At 38.2% G+C, this 17,990-nt stretch overlaps 1 protein-coding gene across 11 annotated transcripts in view, besides 2 other annotated features; it reads right to left on the reverse strand.

The window, feature by feature from the left end:
• ZNF521 (zinc finger protein 521) overlaps positions 1 to 17,990 on the reverse strand; it is a 290,243-nt gene that overhangs the window by 220,272 nt on the left and 51,981 nt on the right. The window lies entirely within an intron of this gene.
• Positions 2,594 to 4,298: an enhancer, noted in NCBI's record as "VISTA enhancer hs369". NCBI's record gives its function as "enhancer in: hindbrain (rhombencephalon)[8/9] | midbrain (mesencephalon)[8/9] | heart[5/9]" and the evidence as "EXISTENCE:transgenic organism evidence [ECO:0001131][PMID:17130149]".
• Positions 7,076 to 7,276: a silencer, noted in NCBI's record as "peak3079 fragment used in MPRA reporter construct". NCBI's record gives its function as "represses an SCP1 promoter by STARR-seq MPRAs in K562 erythroleukemia cells {active_cell/tissue: K562}" and the evidence as "EXISTENCE:reporter gene assay evidence [ECO:0000049][PMID:32103011]".

Below are 17,990 nucleotides of genomic sequence, written 5' to 3' on the forward strand. Positions count from 1 at the left end.
TATGTGTACTGGTATTTCTTCCAAAACATCCCAAAACTGTTTTGGGGGGATGAGGGGATCAGCTGCCTTTGGAGCCAGGTAGGAAGGCAGAAAGGAGGAGGGCCAGAGAGGAGTAGGGAGAAGCAGGGTGAGAAACATGCACATCGGAACCACTGGAAAGCCAGGCGGCTTGTGACCAGTGCGTCGGGCCACTAGACCAGGGAGCAAAGTGCAGGCTAGTCCTTCACACCCAAGCCTTAGGGGAGGCAGCACCCGGTGTCAGAATAACATAGTTCAGTGTTTGGAAAGAGGAAGTCTGCAGAGCGGCACTCCATCCGGCTGGCCAAGTATACAGGTAATAAAGTGTGAGCTTGCACATGGAGGGGGCGGTGCATGGTGGGGACAGGGAAATGAAAGGCAATGTGGATGTGCCAAAAACAATATTCCATCCCCACTGTGACAGGGCATCAGAGGGATCTTTTTGAAAGGACTAGTCAGAAGCCCAAAAAAATTAAGTTAAATTATATACAAAATGCCACACCTAAAAAGAAATATTATTTTAGTAAAAAATCCTACTGCTTTTTTTTCCCCCCTTTAGGCCTTTACCAGGGACACCTGCAAATAAGAAAAACAAAACAAAAAAATCCAGCAAGAATAAAGCACTTTCCAGACTGACAAGGACAGCAAAGAACACAGAAGATTTCTAAGTGAAAGGCACCACGTGGAGTAGAGATAAAAGAGCTTTTAAAATTTTTAGGGAGCCAGATTCAAGTGTTTCAGTGAATCCTTAAAGTGCTTAAGTACAAAATGCTTTCCTCCAATGCATTAAACCTACAGAGAATGACTTTAACCACAGCGTGCCTGCTTTGTGCAGGAAGCAGCTGGTACCTCTTTCTGTGTAATGGATGGGACAAGCACTCTATCCAAGGAAAGTACAACCAAAATCTCACAGGAGTGTTGGCATGAGCCTCTAACACATATCAACAAGCACCTCCACTCACTATCTTTTTTCTCAGCAAAGAGCTTCCACCAGGCCCCTCACTTTGAAAAGTTGCCTCCTTCTGTCTAAGGAAGAATTTCACCTCAGTCACCTGGTTTTGCACATCATACATTCCCACTCTTGCCTCTCCTACTCATGAGGATTGCTGTGCTCTAAGCTTAACCCTTGAATTTGCCAGCACTTAGCAAGAGTCAAAATCAGAGCCTAATTCAGGGGCTCTTCCCTGGTCTCTGGTCCAACATACGCTAATTAAAAGCTGAGGTCGGTCTCCAATTACTGGACCACAATAAATATGTCTATAAAACCTTCACAGGATTTTGCTGTATCAGCAAGAACATTAGTTTAAAAACACCAACTATACCCCCTCCAAGTTTATGTGTCTGCATTAAGTATAATTAATTTCATTGTCTTGATGTTTCACCAGAAAGCTTTCCAGAAAAATCCAAGAATATTATTCAATAGCTGAACATAAACTTAAATGGAAAATAGAAAATAATGTGCTGCTGGAAATCGTAAATTTGGGTAAATCTGAAAACATCTGACCCTTTTTAACTTCAAAAGCAAAAGATCTGAATACCCCCATCATCATTGACGGGAGTTTAAAACCTTATTATAATTTGCCAAATTCCAAAAGAGTTGGTGTTTTAATCCCTCACCACTTTTAAACGGAATCAGTTGAAGAAAAAAAATCAATGTCTGGAGACAGCTCTATGAATGTAGCCACACCTAAAAAACAAGCCAATACTTTCCCCCCCCCCCAAAAAAATTCATGAGCAGCAACAGCTGGAACTGTTTTACACTAGACGGCTGAGTTCTGTGAGAATGTCCTCCTTGTCTTTGTCTGCAAAGCTGAAAGAAGCTGGACTCAAAGGTAGTGTTCAGTCCCAGGAGGACCCTGAGTAAACATGAGCCTGAGCCCCCAGCTCCCTCCTGATAAGGTCAGGTGACATGGTGTCAAAAGACAGCCAAGGAAAGATCTAGAAAAGTGCACACACAAGGAGGATATTTTTCTTTCTCTTTACCAGAGATAATAAAGAACAGAAATGGACTTCAAAATTTTTTATTCACTTAAAATACAACAATGACACTCCCACCCTTGCCCTCAAGCCCTATGTATGTATGATAAACATTTACACACACACACATACACACACTAAACGCACTGCTCTAGCTATCCTTTACTTCCTGAATGAATGCACAACCGAGTCTGAAGCTTGCAGATCTACTCCAAATTGTCAAAGCAACCTGTCTTGATGAAATGTAGCAGCAGCAAAATAACAATACGTCACACAAAAAAATCAGCAAAGTCATCTCATCAGAAAGCAGCCAAAAAATACCCAAGTATTTCCAAAATCTGAGTTGAGACGAGAGCGCTGAGGGCCGGAGGAAAATTAAAAAGAGAGGCAGAGTCATAGGCATAAAGAAGTCTTCAATAAAGCAGTGAGAGTTCGAAAGGAAAGTAGCAACACCACAAGTTATGAAAAGGGGAGAGTACAAAGCATGACAGGCAGATGTAATAAAAGAAAAGCACCATAAAAAAAGAGAAAGAGATGAAGAAATATTTCCAAGTAACTGAGACAGGTACATTGGGAGTATAAAAAAAGAAACAGCTAAGCCTGGAAGGAAACAAGATGAAACTGATGATGCACCTAAAAATGAAAACAACTTTTTGCATGTAAACAAAAGAGGTTTCTAGTGAGAGAGACTACACAAACACTCATGTGCGTGCGCGCGCGCACACACACACACACACACACACAGGGAGGCATCAGGCATCTGACTATTTCAAAAGCCACATCTAAAATTTCATTAAAAAGAGCCCAGCTGCTTCCTTACCCTGACTTTGTCTTTAAGGACTTAGCTAAGCTGAAGGAGTGGCCAGAAAAGGGAAAAAAAAAAAAAACACTTCAACCCATCTCTCTCAAATTCTTTTATTTCAGCAATGCATTAAGCAATCTCCCTGCAGAGTTATTCTCTTCTTCCTGGTGTGGATAAAGCTTCCCCTGGGGAGCTCTGTAATTTCCAGCTTCTCCGAATTCAGGTATTAGTAAAGACCGCTTGGGGACACGCAACAATATAACTCTACATTTTCAGGCATTCGGAGAGAACCCCCTAAGGGTCCCAAGTTCAAATTTCTGAAATGTAGGCATTGTAAAAGGAACCTCGGGGGACTCCAGCAATAGAAATCTGCTGAATTCAAAGCATTTCCTAAGCCCTGGCAGGAGCCTTTGCTCCCACTGGAGGCTTTTTATAAAACATGTGTTGCTGACATGTTGACAGATTGCTCAGTGAAGTGTTAGGTGCATACACAGGCTGGCCATTTAGGGGGACATCAGTTTACCCTTCATCTCTACCTGAAGCACCATGTTTTATACATTACCCGAGGACAGGCAGAAAACAGACACTTTCCAACAAAGTATAGTATCACTTGGCAAAAGACAACCACCCCCTCACACGTACCTCTATCCACCACCTACAGAACTACAGACAGATTTTGTAGTTGCACTTCTCTCTCTCTCTCTCTCACACACACACACACACACACACACACACACACGTACGCGCCTGCGCGCGCACATGCACGCATGGCTATACAGAATCTCCCCAAATCACAAAAAGGTCAGAAAATAAATTAAGTGTACAGTGCAAGGCCCAGGCTTGAAATTGCCTCCATGTATCAGGACTGCCACCCTTTTGCTACACAGGCCAGAGCTCTGAGGGTATAATGAGCAAAGGAATTTTCTAATGACAGCTGACTGTTGGGAGGTAATCTGATCAAAGGCCGATATTAAATCCAACTTCTGCTCATATCAGGGTATTAGTGATGTACGACTTAATAACCCAGCAGCTCCAAAAGTGCTGCCGTGGCAACAGGATGGAAATTGGGATAATAATGTATTCATGGTGCTGGCGACCTGGGGCTGCAGTGCGCGCTCTCAGGGGAGGGCACTTCACCCTGAGCCAGACGTGTCTGGGCAAAATCACTTCACAAAGGACAGGAGTGGAATACTGAAGAGCTCTGGCACTGATGAGAGAGTCGATAAGGGGAAGAGTGGAATGAAGTGAAGGGAGGGAAGGAAAAACATTTTCAGCAGAAGAGCTTGAGTGGTGCTTCTCTGAAAAACTGATGGGGCTCAAGAAGCTCTCCCCGACAAGTACAACCAAAATGGATAATTATTAAATGAACATAAAACTACATTCTCTGCAAAGAGCTGGAGGATGAACAGCACCAGCTTGCATAAAATGACAAGATTTGCACATCAGCCATCATCAGCTTCCAGCCCTACCTACCACCATACAGAGGAGAGCCAATGTCTGCCACCAACAAAACACCCATTCTTCTCAATTGAAACAGATTTCCAATCTTAGCTACTATTTTATTCCTAAAGAAAAACAAATGTTGAGAAAAAACAAAGGTCATACAATAATCAGTCACATCTCATAGACTATATATCTCTCAGATATTAAAAATAATCTCTATTTTTTCATTTCTTGAAATAGAAGCTGAGTAACAACTAAACACCATTTGGGTAGGAGGAAAGAAAAACGGGATTTGAAGGTCTGGAAAGGGGAATCAGAAATTTAATTAAACGAAAAGGGGAGGAGGGGAAGACGCAGAGTCTAGGCCAAGGCACCTCAGCGGTTAAAAGCGTGCCCACCTAGTCTAATCTAACACAAGATCCTCGGACTCCCTGGACTGAGGAAATGAAAGCACATACAAGGGTGGTTTCAATTCCAAATATCTTTTGCAAATTACATCATATGGGACTTATATTTGCTGAAGACATCTTTAGAATATCAGTGAATACTCCAAAAGAAAATTCATGGACCAGACATGGACTTTGGGGACAGGAGAAGAAAATGGCCCATTTTTCTTATCTAGCTTAAAATACCTTCTTTGCTATAAGGAAAATGCTTCTCTGTAACTAATACAGAATATCCTCAAAGAACAAAGAGACCAAACATACCAAGCAAACTTGGTAAAAACGTGGCCTCAAGAAACACTCCTGGGGGGCCTGGTCGGCTTCTCTTCTGAGGAAACTGACTCCGTAATCATTCTGACATGCAACTGAGGAGAGAGCAGCAAATCCTAATTTCTTATTCTTGCAGCGCTTAATGCCAACAACGTACATATTGTACTCTTAAGCGCTCTTCCTGCCTTTCCTAGTATTACAGATAATTTGCTAGTTTCAGAGTGTACTTATTACAGGACTGTCAGAGGAGTTTTTGTTTCAACAACACGTTAACTTTACTGCACTTATAAAAAACATTATGTGTCCCCTGTGATTCTGTGTGTTTAAGAGCAGCGAAATGTTATTGATCCCGGTGTGACAAATCAAGAGTTAGGTAATGTCTACAAAACTCAATTTTCTGCAAGACATAAAAACCCTCTTTATGAAACCCCTCCTTAAGAAATTCAGGAGAAATTCAGAAAAAAAAAAAAGAGAGTATAAAGGTCAGCAACTATTCCTTATTAATGTAATCTAACTCTATTCCAATGACAGGCACATGACCACAGAGGCCAATTTAAACTAATATTTTTTTCACTACTGTAAAAACAAATCTGCAGGAAATTTAAAAAATTACTTTGATACAACTAGTCATCCTCCTCAGAAAGAGCATTAAATTGAAGCCAGTTTCCTCTCACTAAGGACTGTGTGACTTCAGATTCGCAGATAAGTATCCAACTTCTTGACCAAGCATTAGGATTCTACTTGCTTGTATCTGTCTACAATGGACTTTCACAGAACTCGTTTGCTTTAGAAATGTCACAATGCTGAAAACATCTCATTCTGATTCACATGAAATCTCTTAATTCTTATGATTTTTTTTCCTCTCAGAAAAGATATAATACTGAAAATGCCCCCCCAATAGTTTCAGCAACAAGAGTTGTAAACCTGATAGGTGACAGGGAAAGAAAAGAAAAAACCTCTACTGGGCAACATCAATAAACTGGGCGTGATGTGCACAAAATCCATTTGCATCCATAGAAATTTCATAACTCTGCATACATATTTGGATTTTTCCCCCAACTGTTCAGGGACAGTAAGCACTGATACTGCATTTAATTAACAAGCAAATGTGATGCCCTCCGATGTGAACAATACTGAGCCAATTGCTTAAGTTCTCACAAAGATAAATGTATTACAAGCACCACTGTACTACTGCAGAATATGACAGTAGTCATTTTCCTCATCTTCCCCAGCAAACTTTAGTCTCTGACAGGGCTAGCCTTCTGTCCACCTTTACCCTCAACTCTTTCCTTTCGGGTTTTAGCTTCCATAGGGAAATTCGCTTTCCAGATCCGTGGGTAGCTCACTCTTTCTCTTTTCCTCTTTTCTCTCCCTCTCCTTTTCCTCTACTGTATTCATCATTATTCAGCTGCATTATAACACTTAAAAAAAAAAAAACCCAGCTTTGAAAAAAAAAAAAAAAAGAAATCATTTGATTTTCATTGCCCTGGAGAGAATTAAATACCCCCAAGGAAAAATTCTGGTACATTCTCTGCACACATTTACATGCAGCCAGTGAAGTAAACATTTCCATAATTGCTCACTTCAGAACACGTTACCCAGTTCCTAGGTACAATAACTGTCAGGAGTCAATGAGGAATAAAGAATTTTCCTGAATCCTTGCACATAACCTGACTAGCATTAATAACTCCACAGTTGTACATAAGTTAAGAAATGGATTACTGCCAGACATCAGCCTTGCTCCAAACACTTTGGTCATGAGCTTTTCATGCTGCCATTAACAAAATAAATATGTTTTCTAAAACTTAAGGCTATTGATAATAAAAGCATTTTTTTTAACTTTCCTTCTCCTTAGAATAAAAGGCAATAGCCAAAACTATAGCTTTTTTTAACCTTGGAAATTACAGCAACAACATATGGCTTCCATTTACTTCCAATTTTACTCGTACTGTGAGCTTCTTTGGTGAAGTTGTCTTCTATTGCTAAATGACAAAATGAATGATGAAATTCGGTTGCTATGCTAGAAAAACAAAAAACAAACCATGGTGGTTAATCCCTAAGGAAAACTGGACTTCGGTTATGAATCATCCTTACCAGCAATCTTGTAAATCTTAAATAAAAGTCTTTATGTCCTAAAAAGTATTGTGAATAAACATTATTTTCTTTTAAACCCCTGGCAGAAAGGATTCTCCTCCCTCCCCAGTCCCTTCACATTCAAGGTTAGAGAGCATGCCACCAGCCCTCAGTGATTATGCGAACAGAACTTTCCTTGTGCAAGAGGCATCAATGAGGAAGGCGAGCACGAAGTCGGCTCTGTTTTTATTGCATGCTTGCAGGGCTTCTCATATTGCTGAAACTACAATGAAGAGCTCGGGAAGCGCATCATAAAACCAGCCCATTGGCTGTGATGGTATTAGTAATTTTTCTACAAAATGAAAATGTATATACTTTGTTATCAGATAAATCTTTATGTGCTTCCTCCATCTTTCCCTAACCAACGCATTCCCCACTTACCCCCAACTCTCTTGTGTGTCCAAGATTTACTTGGTCTTTATGATGACTTCAGATAGATAGTCATTGCCTAATTAGGCTGTGAAAGGGTCTGAGTAAACGAAACATAAAGTCAAAATTGGGGGGAAAATTATTTTTTAATTTTAAAAATGCGGCTAGCTAGACAATCAACTTCCGCACACAATAAAAGTGTAGCTCTGTGTGTTATAAACTATTTATGACGTGTTCAAGAAAGTTTTTCACCCAGGCAGAAAATATCCTTTTAATAAGCCCTTTTTAACTACAACATGCCATTATTGGTCTCTTCTTTATTGTTGTTTTCATATTTTCGGCATAAATACAGTGCAAAAAAAAGACAAAAAGCAATGCTGCACACAACTGAAATGTTATACAATTTGCTAAAATGATGAATAAAATTAAAACTGCCTGTCAAAGCAAAATGAAAAGCAATTTTGTTTGCAATTTTCATAGCAGCTATGGAAAAGCAGCCAAATTGATGAACTGCATGCAGTCTGCGGTTTATAAGCATCCAGAGTAACTGAAGAAGGCGCTTTGATTAGTAATAGTATCAAGATGAACTGCAGCTTAAAATTCAGAACCTTCTAATCCAGCTGTTGGCCTTCCTCTGAAAGACAAATTTTATACTTTACTCCCCAAAATTGATCTAAGGGTTAATATCAGACTATCTAGGTGATTATGAACACCTTAAAAAGCTGGTGTTTTATTCCAAATTTAAATTTCATCAATCATTCCAAGCACTAACACCTGTGAAATACGCATTCTGTGCTCTTATTCCTGGGCCCCTCGCTGGGAGCCCAGAGTACTGACTGCAAATGAGTAGACAGGGAGGTGCTGATACCACTGTTTGCTACCAAATTTTAACTAGAGAGCAATTTCTACTTCTATTGAAGTAGAAGTTCAGTGTTTGATGCACAGTAGGCCATATTCTTTTTTTTTTTTTTTTTTTTTGAGACGGAGTCTCACTTTGTCACCCAGACTGGAGTACAGTGGTGTGATCTTGGCTCACTGCAACCTCCACCTCCCGGGTTCAAGCAATTCTCGTGCCTCAGCCTCCTGAGTAGCTGGGATTACAGGTACCCGCCACCACACCTGGCTAATTTTTGTATTTTTAGTAGAGACCCACCCAGCCACCCAAAGTGCTGGGATTTCAGGCGTGAGCCACTGCACCCAGCTGATAGTAAGCCATATTCTTGAATGAAAAGATGAATAAATGAATTAATGGATGGATGGATGGATGGGTAAATGAATTCATTTCCATCACTGTACTCCATTTTATGATACCCAAAATTTGATTTAGACGAAATATAAAGCTTTGTGGGGTGCCTGAGGAAAGGCCAGTAACGGAACTACTGTTACAGAGGACTAGCATTAGTCACATTACCAAAACTATTAATACACTTGCCAAATGACTGGGGCTCCAGTGCAGAATTCTACCAAGATATAATTGAATGATAAGAAATGGAGGTTCTTTCTTTCACATGTGGCCATAAATAATGCACGAGTGAAATTCTTCTCATTGAAAATTGTCCACTGCTGACATCAATTTCTCTATTTTACCCTCCGTCTAAAGTAAAAACATACAAAAATGTAAACATTAAAGTGACCATTTCTACACTCAACATGAAAAGATACCAATTAAATGCAATAAAATGAATAAATGTTCCATGTCAGCATTTTGGCTTAGGAAAGCCTCCCAAATCCTCATGTGGAATGTTTGAATGTGGCCATCTTATTTGACAATATCCCTTGCTATTGTCACTCATAGGTAAAGGTAGTGGAATTAAACACAGCTACATAAGAGTAAGTAATGAATTTGAGCTTCAGATATAGGATTACAATAACGTATACTTAATTCATAGGAAGCCTAATTTCCTCCTAAGCAGTTAGTTGAATTGTGAGGCTCATCTTCCACCAGGAGAAATACAGGTCAGCTCTCTGGGTTTTGCATTCAAACACCCAAAGATCCCTGAGTCAATAAATGCCACAGATCCTGCAGACAATTCTACTCTCTGTAGACGTCTGCCACCCTTCTCGCCAAGCCCTCGGCATACTATATTTGCAATTATTTATACAACATAAGCCTCTACAAGTGGTATTCCTATTTTTCAATTGAGGAAACTCGAGAAAATAGAATTTCTGAGTTTCCAGAATACAATAATCAACACCCTCTCTAGATACAACTGTACTTGAAAAGTTGTCAGGATTTAAGACATCCTCATTCCAGTCATTTGGAAGTTCCAATCATTGCACCAAGAAAAAAAAAAATCATCTTTTTAACTTCTTTTGGTACAGGAAATATTTTAGTACCTGACAGTATCTGGCTCATAATAGGCGCTCAATGAATATTTATTGAAAGAAAAAAAGGAGGGGAATAAAAAGAAGAAAAAGTGCTATCCAAGGTTATTGTCTTAAACTGCCACATATTATTTTTTGCCCTGGAAAACACAGGGCAAGTCTTTGGTTTGAATAAAGTCAAATGAGCATGTCTACCAACACTTACACATGTCACCTGCCAGTTTCCCACTTTTTGCTGTATCCCATATCAAACTGTGATGCTGACTCAGATGTCGGATACTTTATTCTGGTGAATCTCATAGATTTACTGTGAAAAAAATGTCTAATTTCATTTCATCATTATTTGAGATTTGGGCCTCTCAGTCACCATCTGTACCATGTCACTGCACTTACATTTCACATGAGTTGCCTTAATGTCAGGGCACAATAATGGCACATATTCACAAAAAGGGCATTTCCAACAAATTCTTCTCAACACTGGTATTTTTAAATCCTCCCCAGAGCTTTTTTGTAACATCATGACTAACTGTGTTTTCTTTTGTGTCCCTGACATGACACAAAAGTAGCTTGTGCTCAAGTACAGGGAAGTGGATAGTGAGGTGGTAAATAATGGCGTGTATCATTAAGAAATACAAGATATAGTAGGTGGGTATGGATAGTGGAAAGCAAAACGTTATCAGGGAAACAGCCCCATTAGACATGACCATGTGGCTTCTGTTGTTGCTTCTGCCACTACCAGCAGTGAAATCTTGAACAAGCTACAACTTTACTGGACTGCAATTAATTCAAACATGAAAGTGGGAGATGAGGGGATTATTTACTAAAGGAGTGGCTTTCAAGCTGTTTTTATTTGTTCTTTAAACAAAACTTTAAGGGGAAGTCCAAGATAAATAAAACCACCCAACCTGAATCCAAGGTAGGACCCTCAGGGTCCAGTCCCCAGGGCCCATCTCCACTCTGCTCTCCTCATACTGTAGGAAGCCCCAGAGATCCCCAAAGCACAGTTTGAATCCACTGTATATAATGATCTCCAAGGTCACTTCTGGGTCCACTGCCCAATGGTTTTCCCATATATATTCTGCCTTTATTCCTAAGTCAATATTTTTGTTTTCTCAGTTGAAGGTAAATAAAGAAGAGGCGATAACAGAACATAAAACAACCAAAAAGTTCTGGATACCCTGTTGCTTAGTGATCATTTTAATCAATAATTAAAGAAAAATCATACATATGATTCCACACAATTAAAGAAAACCCATAAGCTATCTTCTATCACACAGAGATTATTAGCAAACACTCCTCTACCTTTCGCCCAGATGAGGGCTCCACAAAGGGTTGTTGCTGCATTAACAGATTTTCTTGCTTGCACATGTACACATACACACACACACACACACACACACACACACACACAAATTCCTTAATTTCTTAGAAGTCTCTAAACAGACATTACCAAGAAATTTACACTAGAGAATCAATCAATCATTGCTCCAGGAGTACAATATTTAAAACTAGCTTTTCTGGATTCTACCTCAAGGTGATCTCACTATTGCAGCTCTTTAGAGATTTAACAACAAAATTATTATTTCCAAACTTTAATTGAGCTTCTTAAGATAGGTATTTATGATACTCTTCACAACACTTGGAGATTTTATGCTCTACTGTGGAATCGTTGGCTGCTTTGTTAGTGTTCATTTTTATATTTTAGGTATTTAAATAGTATTGTATGGCTTTGTCTTGAAAATAAATCAATTTGGCAATTTATTTCTAGCAAATGGTGCTTCCACAATTTCTTGCATACAATCCAACCTTCAAGCAAACCATCAAAGCCTCTACCAGAGGATATTTTATGACTGTTTCATAATTTAAATTAAAAATCCATTTTTAAGAGACAATACTCTTTCAAAAAAGTAGTGCCTTATGACTAGCAAATTAAAGATAATTTTTTTCTTACTTGCTTGCAAATAATTTCTTTAATCCAGAGCATGAGATGTGAACTCTAGTTAATGAATATTATCTTTGGCAAGCAGTAACCTACAATCTTAAAAGGTTCATTTTTATCATTGGTATTTTGAAGTTGCAACTTTGATCCATTACAATATAAAAAAGAAATGATTTTATTAGCATTCTCTTTCATTACTGGATAATACTCTGCAGTGCTGGTACTACTGGGAAACTATTAAAGGTTTCTCTTAAAGAGGAATTCACAAATGATTTTTAAATGATAAAAGCAATAAAAATTTCTTCATTTCTCTAGATAAGACATGTATACTAATTTTTTTTTCCTGCTGTTAATTTTCTGCTGATCCGCTGGTCAGTTTGCTTCTAGGTATAATTCAAGAGACTGCATCAATCAATAAATATGCATAAAGCATGGGAAAATAATTATGCTACAAATTAGTTGTCAAATTTGATTCTATAGGCCTAGGATGTCTTCTTCTGACTCTGGAAAAACAGGTTTTCGTTTTTAAATTACTAGACACTAGTAGCAAACTCTGTTTTTCACCATGTGCAAATTACAGTCAAATGTAACGAAAATGTACATGGCAAACCTGTCCTCTTTTTGCATAATTGCCTTACATCTTAAGAAGTAGGTTTAGGCTGCCAGGTGCAGTGGCTCATGCCTGTAATCTCAGCACTTTGGGAGGCTGAGCGGGGCAGATCACAAGGTCAGGAGATCGAGACCATCCTGGCCAACATGGTGAAACTCCATCTCCACTAAAAATACAAAAATTAGCTGGGTGTGGTAGCCCATGCTTGTAATCCCAGCTACTAGGGAGGCTGAGGCAGGAGAATCGCTTGAACCCAGGAGGCGGAGACAGCAGTGAGCCAAGATCGTGCCACTGCATTCCAGCCTGGCGACAGAGCAAGATTCTGTCTCAAAAAAAAAAAAAAAAAAAAAAAAAAAAGGAGCAGGTTTGGGCAGAAATCTTTCTATACTGCTATCTGCGACATCCTTTATCTCTTTCACATAGTTTCTTTTAAAAAAAATTGACGAAATATACCTACATAAAAATACAGAAAAGCAACAACTTGATATAATTATAAACAACACTCATATAACTACTATACTAGTATAGAAATAGAACACTGTCAGCACCTAAAACGTCCTCAAGTGTCCCTCCTCATCACTACCCATTCCTTCTACCCTAAAGGTAAGCACTAACCTGACCTTTGTGATAGTGATTTTCCATTCTTTTATTGTTATCACACCTATGTATACAACCCTAGACAGTATAATTTAGTTTTGCCTAGTTTTGAAGTCCATGTGAATGGTTCCATACTGTATGTATTCTTTGTCATCTTGTTTCTTGGGTCAATTCGACATTTGCAGGGGTTGTCTTCTTGAGGATAGCCATCATTCATTCATTTTCTCTGCTAATAATATGCCATTATGTTAGAAAGAATGCTTTACGACCTAGTATTTGCTAGCACAACAGGATGACTATAGTCAAAAATAATTTAATTGTACATTTAAAAATAACTAAAAGGGTATAACTGGATTGTCTGTAACACAAAAGATAAATGCTTAAGGTGACAGATACCCCATTTACCTTGATGTGATTATTATGCATTGCATGCCCGTATCAAAATATCTCATTTAACCCATAAATATATACACCTACTATGTACCCAAAAAAGTAAAAAAAAAAAAAGTAAATATTTTTAAAATGATAAATAAAATACATTAAAAGAAAATATTCCATTATGTGAATATGCAGTTTATTCTGTGTACCAGACATTTGGTTTGTTTTCAGTTTTGACTATCACAGACAATGCTGCTATGAATATACATGTACATGTACCTGTCTCCCATACATACCTGTTTCTCCAGGGTATGGAGATATGAAATTGCTGAGTCATAGAGTTTACATATCCTTAAACTTAGTGTATAATGCCAAACCATTTTCCCAAAGTGGTTCTATCCATTTAAACTCCCGCCAGCAGTGTCTATTACTCCACATCGTGGCAACACTTACAATTGTCACACTTTTTGCTAATTTGACAGATATGAAGCCCAAGAGATTTTACTTTCATCTTAGCCCTTGTTACCTTGGTTAAAAGCACTGCACAATCACAGACAACACAGAAATAGCTGAAGGTATGCCCTTCTATTCACTTCCTTATCCATCTTTTTGTTTCAATGGCCCTAGTCAATTTTAGACCTTGTTACTTAGAGTCTATTTTATTTAATTCCCTTTTATTCCTATAAATTTACAAAATTCTATGTAGCTCTATCATCCCTGATGAAAATATCCCACTTGATAGGAGCACTAGGTACAAGAAAGTAAAATTCCTCAAAAAGAAGTTATTGTCATCTGCCACCACTCTCTGCAAATATTTTTTATTTAGTAATACTATAGCACTTGAATCCTTCTATCTAGAGATACTTTTGCACACTTTCAGCATCAATTTCATATATGCAAGTAGTATATATACTATGTGCCTAGACTTGCTATGGATTTGGGATCTGAGATTGTTTCTTCAAAGATACTCAGTCACACTTATTCTAATAGAACCCCATCGCTGACAGTCTTGAGATTTTAACCTGTGGAAATTGGAGGGTGCATATGGAACAGGAATGAGAATCAGAGAATTTTCTTTGAACAAACACTGTTCTTTAGAGAGTGTTTTGGCCTTCTCAGGTCACACAATGGTGTACACATCTAACTTTCTTTCTGGGAGCCTCTGCAAATACCTTCTCTTCCTCAAGGTCAAGTTCAAGTCTTCCTTGACATGAAGGAGGCCTTCCTGGAAAATGGTGAGCTCCACTAAGTTCTCATGTCTTGACTATACATTTTGGTGCTTATTTATATTCTCTAGGATGTATCTCTCTATATTTTGCTGTGCTTAATCATAATCACTAGACAATATGCTCCTAAGAAACAGGAAACTTTCCTGTCTTGTTTAAGACTGTATCTTCAGTATAAGAAATAAATAGTGCCTGGTACATAGCTGGTACTCAATAAATATGTATTGAATGAATGAATGAAAAAAGTCTTATGTTTTTCTGTATTTGTTAAGTGTGTATGTGTGGTCACCCCATAAATTGTAAAGCCTTGTAAGTAGCAACCATTTCTTTATACATTTTTCCCATACACACACATACACACACACACATATATATAGACACATATACATGTCCCTTTATACACACACACACACACACATATATATATATACTGAATTAAAATGGGCCATAAAACAAGAGCCACATTCTCTAAGGTAGGTACTCTTTCAAAACATATGTAACACACTAGATATACGTAAAGAAACTCATGAGAATGCTAAACAGAATAAGCACAAATACCTGGCATTTACACTTTGTAATCCAGTTTTGCTAACAGAGATGTTCTAGTAAGTATGTGCTAATCAGAAGGTCTGTGACAGCTTGCACAAAATCAATTCACAATATTCAAGTTACAGCAAATCCATGAAAAATTCATATTAAATCCTTTCTTATTTGTGTATTTAGTCTCACGCAGATATTAAAATAAATCATTGCCAGGGTGCTTTGAAATTTTTTGACTATAACAGAATTTATCACAAGAAAATATAGAAAATGAATGCGAATACCACTAAATGCAGTATGACTTAAGAAACTAACAATATCGTAATACTATGAAAGTTCATATTACTGGCAGAGAAAATGAATGAATGATGGCTATCCTCAAGAAGACAAATACGTACTCTGTTATACTATGGTCACAGAATAGACACAAACCATAGGTCCTTTAGGGAAAGTGCAAATAGAAAGAAATAAACAGTTTCTCTACCAGTTATCAGATAAAAACTCTGTTTTTAAGGCATTCATATATTTAGTCTTTATTTCTGCTAGAAGACTGAGATGAGTTTCAAATACTTCCCTTTTTATTATAACAATCTTCATAAATCCTTAGAAATCCTAGTACAGAAATATTTCCCTCCCATTCTTAGACTTTTTGATTGAGTTATTAATAGATTAGTACATTCACTAATTGAGACTCATTTACTCATTCATCAAACATTTACTGGGGACTCTCTATGTACCAGGTCCTGGGCTACACGCAACATATTCAATTATTCACCTGCATTAGATGAAAAGGTGCCGATGTTGGTTATATAGATTCTTTTCATTATTCTGAAAAATTGCTTCTCTTAATTACTGTTGAGTTACTATTGTCAGAGAGCACAGACTAGTCTTCAGTTTCATTTAAATCAGAGAGAAAGAAATGTATATAACCACCCAAAGAAATACAAAATTTATAGAAGTCATTGAACTATACTTTCAATTTAATCTGCCAGTTCTTCTAAATGATGTCTTAGTCAAAGGTCTCTGCCAATTAATGAACCTTGGACCAAATCATACAATCAGAATATCTCTCAGATATATACTACCTGTATTTCGGCATGTGGACTGGGTCAGAGTAAATTTGAGGTTAGACTTTAGGCTCCTTAGGGCATCTCTCTCTCTCTAGCTGCTATTGCCAAAGCAAATTTAAGTCTCAAATAAAGTGATGCAATTACACTATACATCCTTCCTTCTTCCTGCCTATCACAAGAGAAAGTGAAGCAGACCACCACTCTATCCCTAGGACTTTTGTTCGCCCTTAAGAATGTATTCAATATCCAGTTTACCCACATACTTTATATTTTAAAAATGGAACAGCGGGTCATCAAAGTGGCACACTATATGATTTCCTTGATCATACACCAATCTAGGGATTACATTGGCCCTATGTACTTTCAGCAACAATAATCATGATGAAAGGCTAGTATTAGAATTAGTATGCTTTAAAAAAAATCATTGGAGAAGGAAATACCATCTTATACTGTGAAAATTGGAAGCAATTCACAGGTAGTAACTGTAACTAACACACCTATAGCTTCACAGAGTGAAATAAATCATTCTACAGTTTCACTTGATCAAGCAGGATCACACTCCTCTTTTAAAGAGTGACCATGCCCCAAAACAATGCAGCGTTGGCTCCTTGCCAAACAGCCAGACCACAAACATGGATACACCTTGGACAACGGACATCCTGGGCGCAGTAGCAGCAAAATTCTAGATCCTACCACTTCCCACGTGGAAATCCAGCAAAGAAAAACAATCTGGAGATCACATGATCCAGGTTTGTCATCCTCTGCATCTGTCCCCATGTATAAACATCTTGATGCAGAAGGAAACTGACTCATCCCTATCAGGAAAAGTCAGCTTTCCTTTGCTTAACATATACCAGGGCTTGGGCCACATGAGGTCTGGGTAGGAAACCATACACAGAATACTAACATGTAACTTTACAAAACAAAAGCTAAACTGCTTCCAACATGTTCGTGCTACAAAGTCCAATGAAGGAGGGCAGGAGAGAAAGACAGTGAGTGATGTAAATGCGAACAAGACAACTATCTAAGACAAAAATTCTCCACAGACTAAGAAGATAAGTTAGGAAAAGTAACTGTGAAGAATTCTGAATACAAACAGAATTAGAAAATTCAAGATTATGGTAACTATGCAGTACTCTCATTAGGAGACAAATACCTGAAATACAACTCAATTACTGTGCTGTATACAAAAAACCCCTAACAGGTTTTAAAATATGTTGGGGAACAACACTGTAAGGTCTTTCATAAAGTGATTGCCCAATACTGGTCAGGGTGAGAAACCACCACAGTTGACTAATGCTTCTTTTATAAATAAAGATTCCTGATGACATCTGAGAGTAGAATTAGGACATTAAAGACATACCACTCTATAAACGCGACCCATGATACAAGGGAACAAAAGACTACAGTTTAAGAAATTACATTGTATAAGTCCTTGCTTCCTATTTCTCACTTAAAAGCATAAGATCAATTAAACTTACATGGTAGACTTGGAAGAAATGATAATAAGAGAGACTCTGATTTCGGTGGCAGATTATGTTTCCCAAGGTGACCACAACGATAACTGCCATCCCACGTGCTCCTCTGCAGTGTGACCTTCCTATTCCACCATCAAGAAGTGGAGTTTATTTCCCATCCTCTCAAATCTGAGCTGGATTGGGAACTTACTTTAACCAACAGAGAACACAGAAGTATCGCTGTTATTTCTAAGCTTGGGCCTCAAGAGACTGCAACTTAGACCCTGAAGTACTCCTTCTTGGAACCTAGACCCATGCTGTGAAAGCCAGACGAGACATGTGGAAAGGACTGGTTAGAAAAGCGACAACCACAGCCCCCAGTGACAGTACAGT

Source organism: Homo sapiens, chromosome 18, assembly GCF_000001405.40.
Source record: "Homo sapiens chromosome 18, GRCh38.p14 Primary Assembly".
Taxonomy (NCBI): domain Eukaryota; kingdom Metazoa; phylum Chordata; class Mammalia; order Primates; family Hominidae; genus Homo; species Homo sapiens.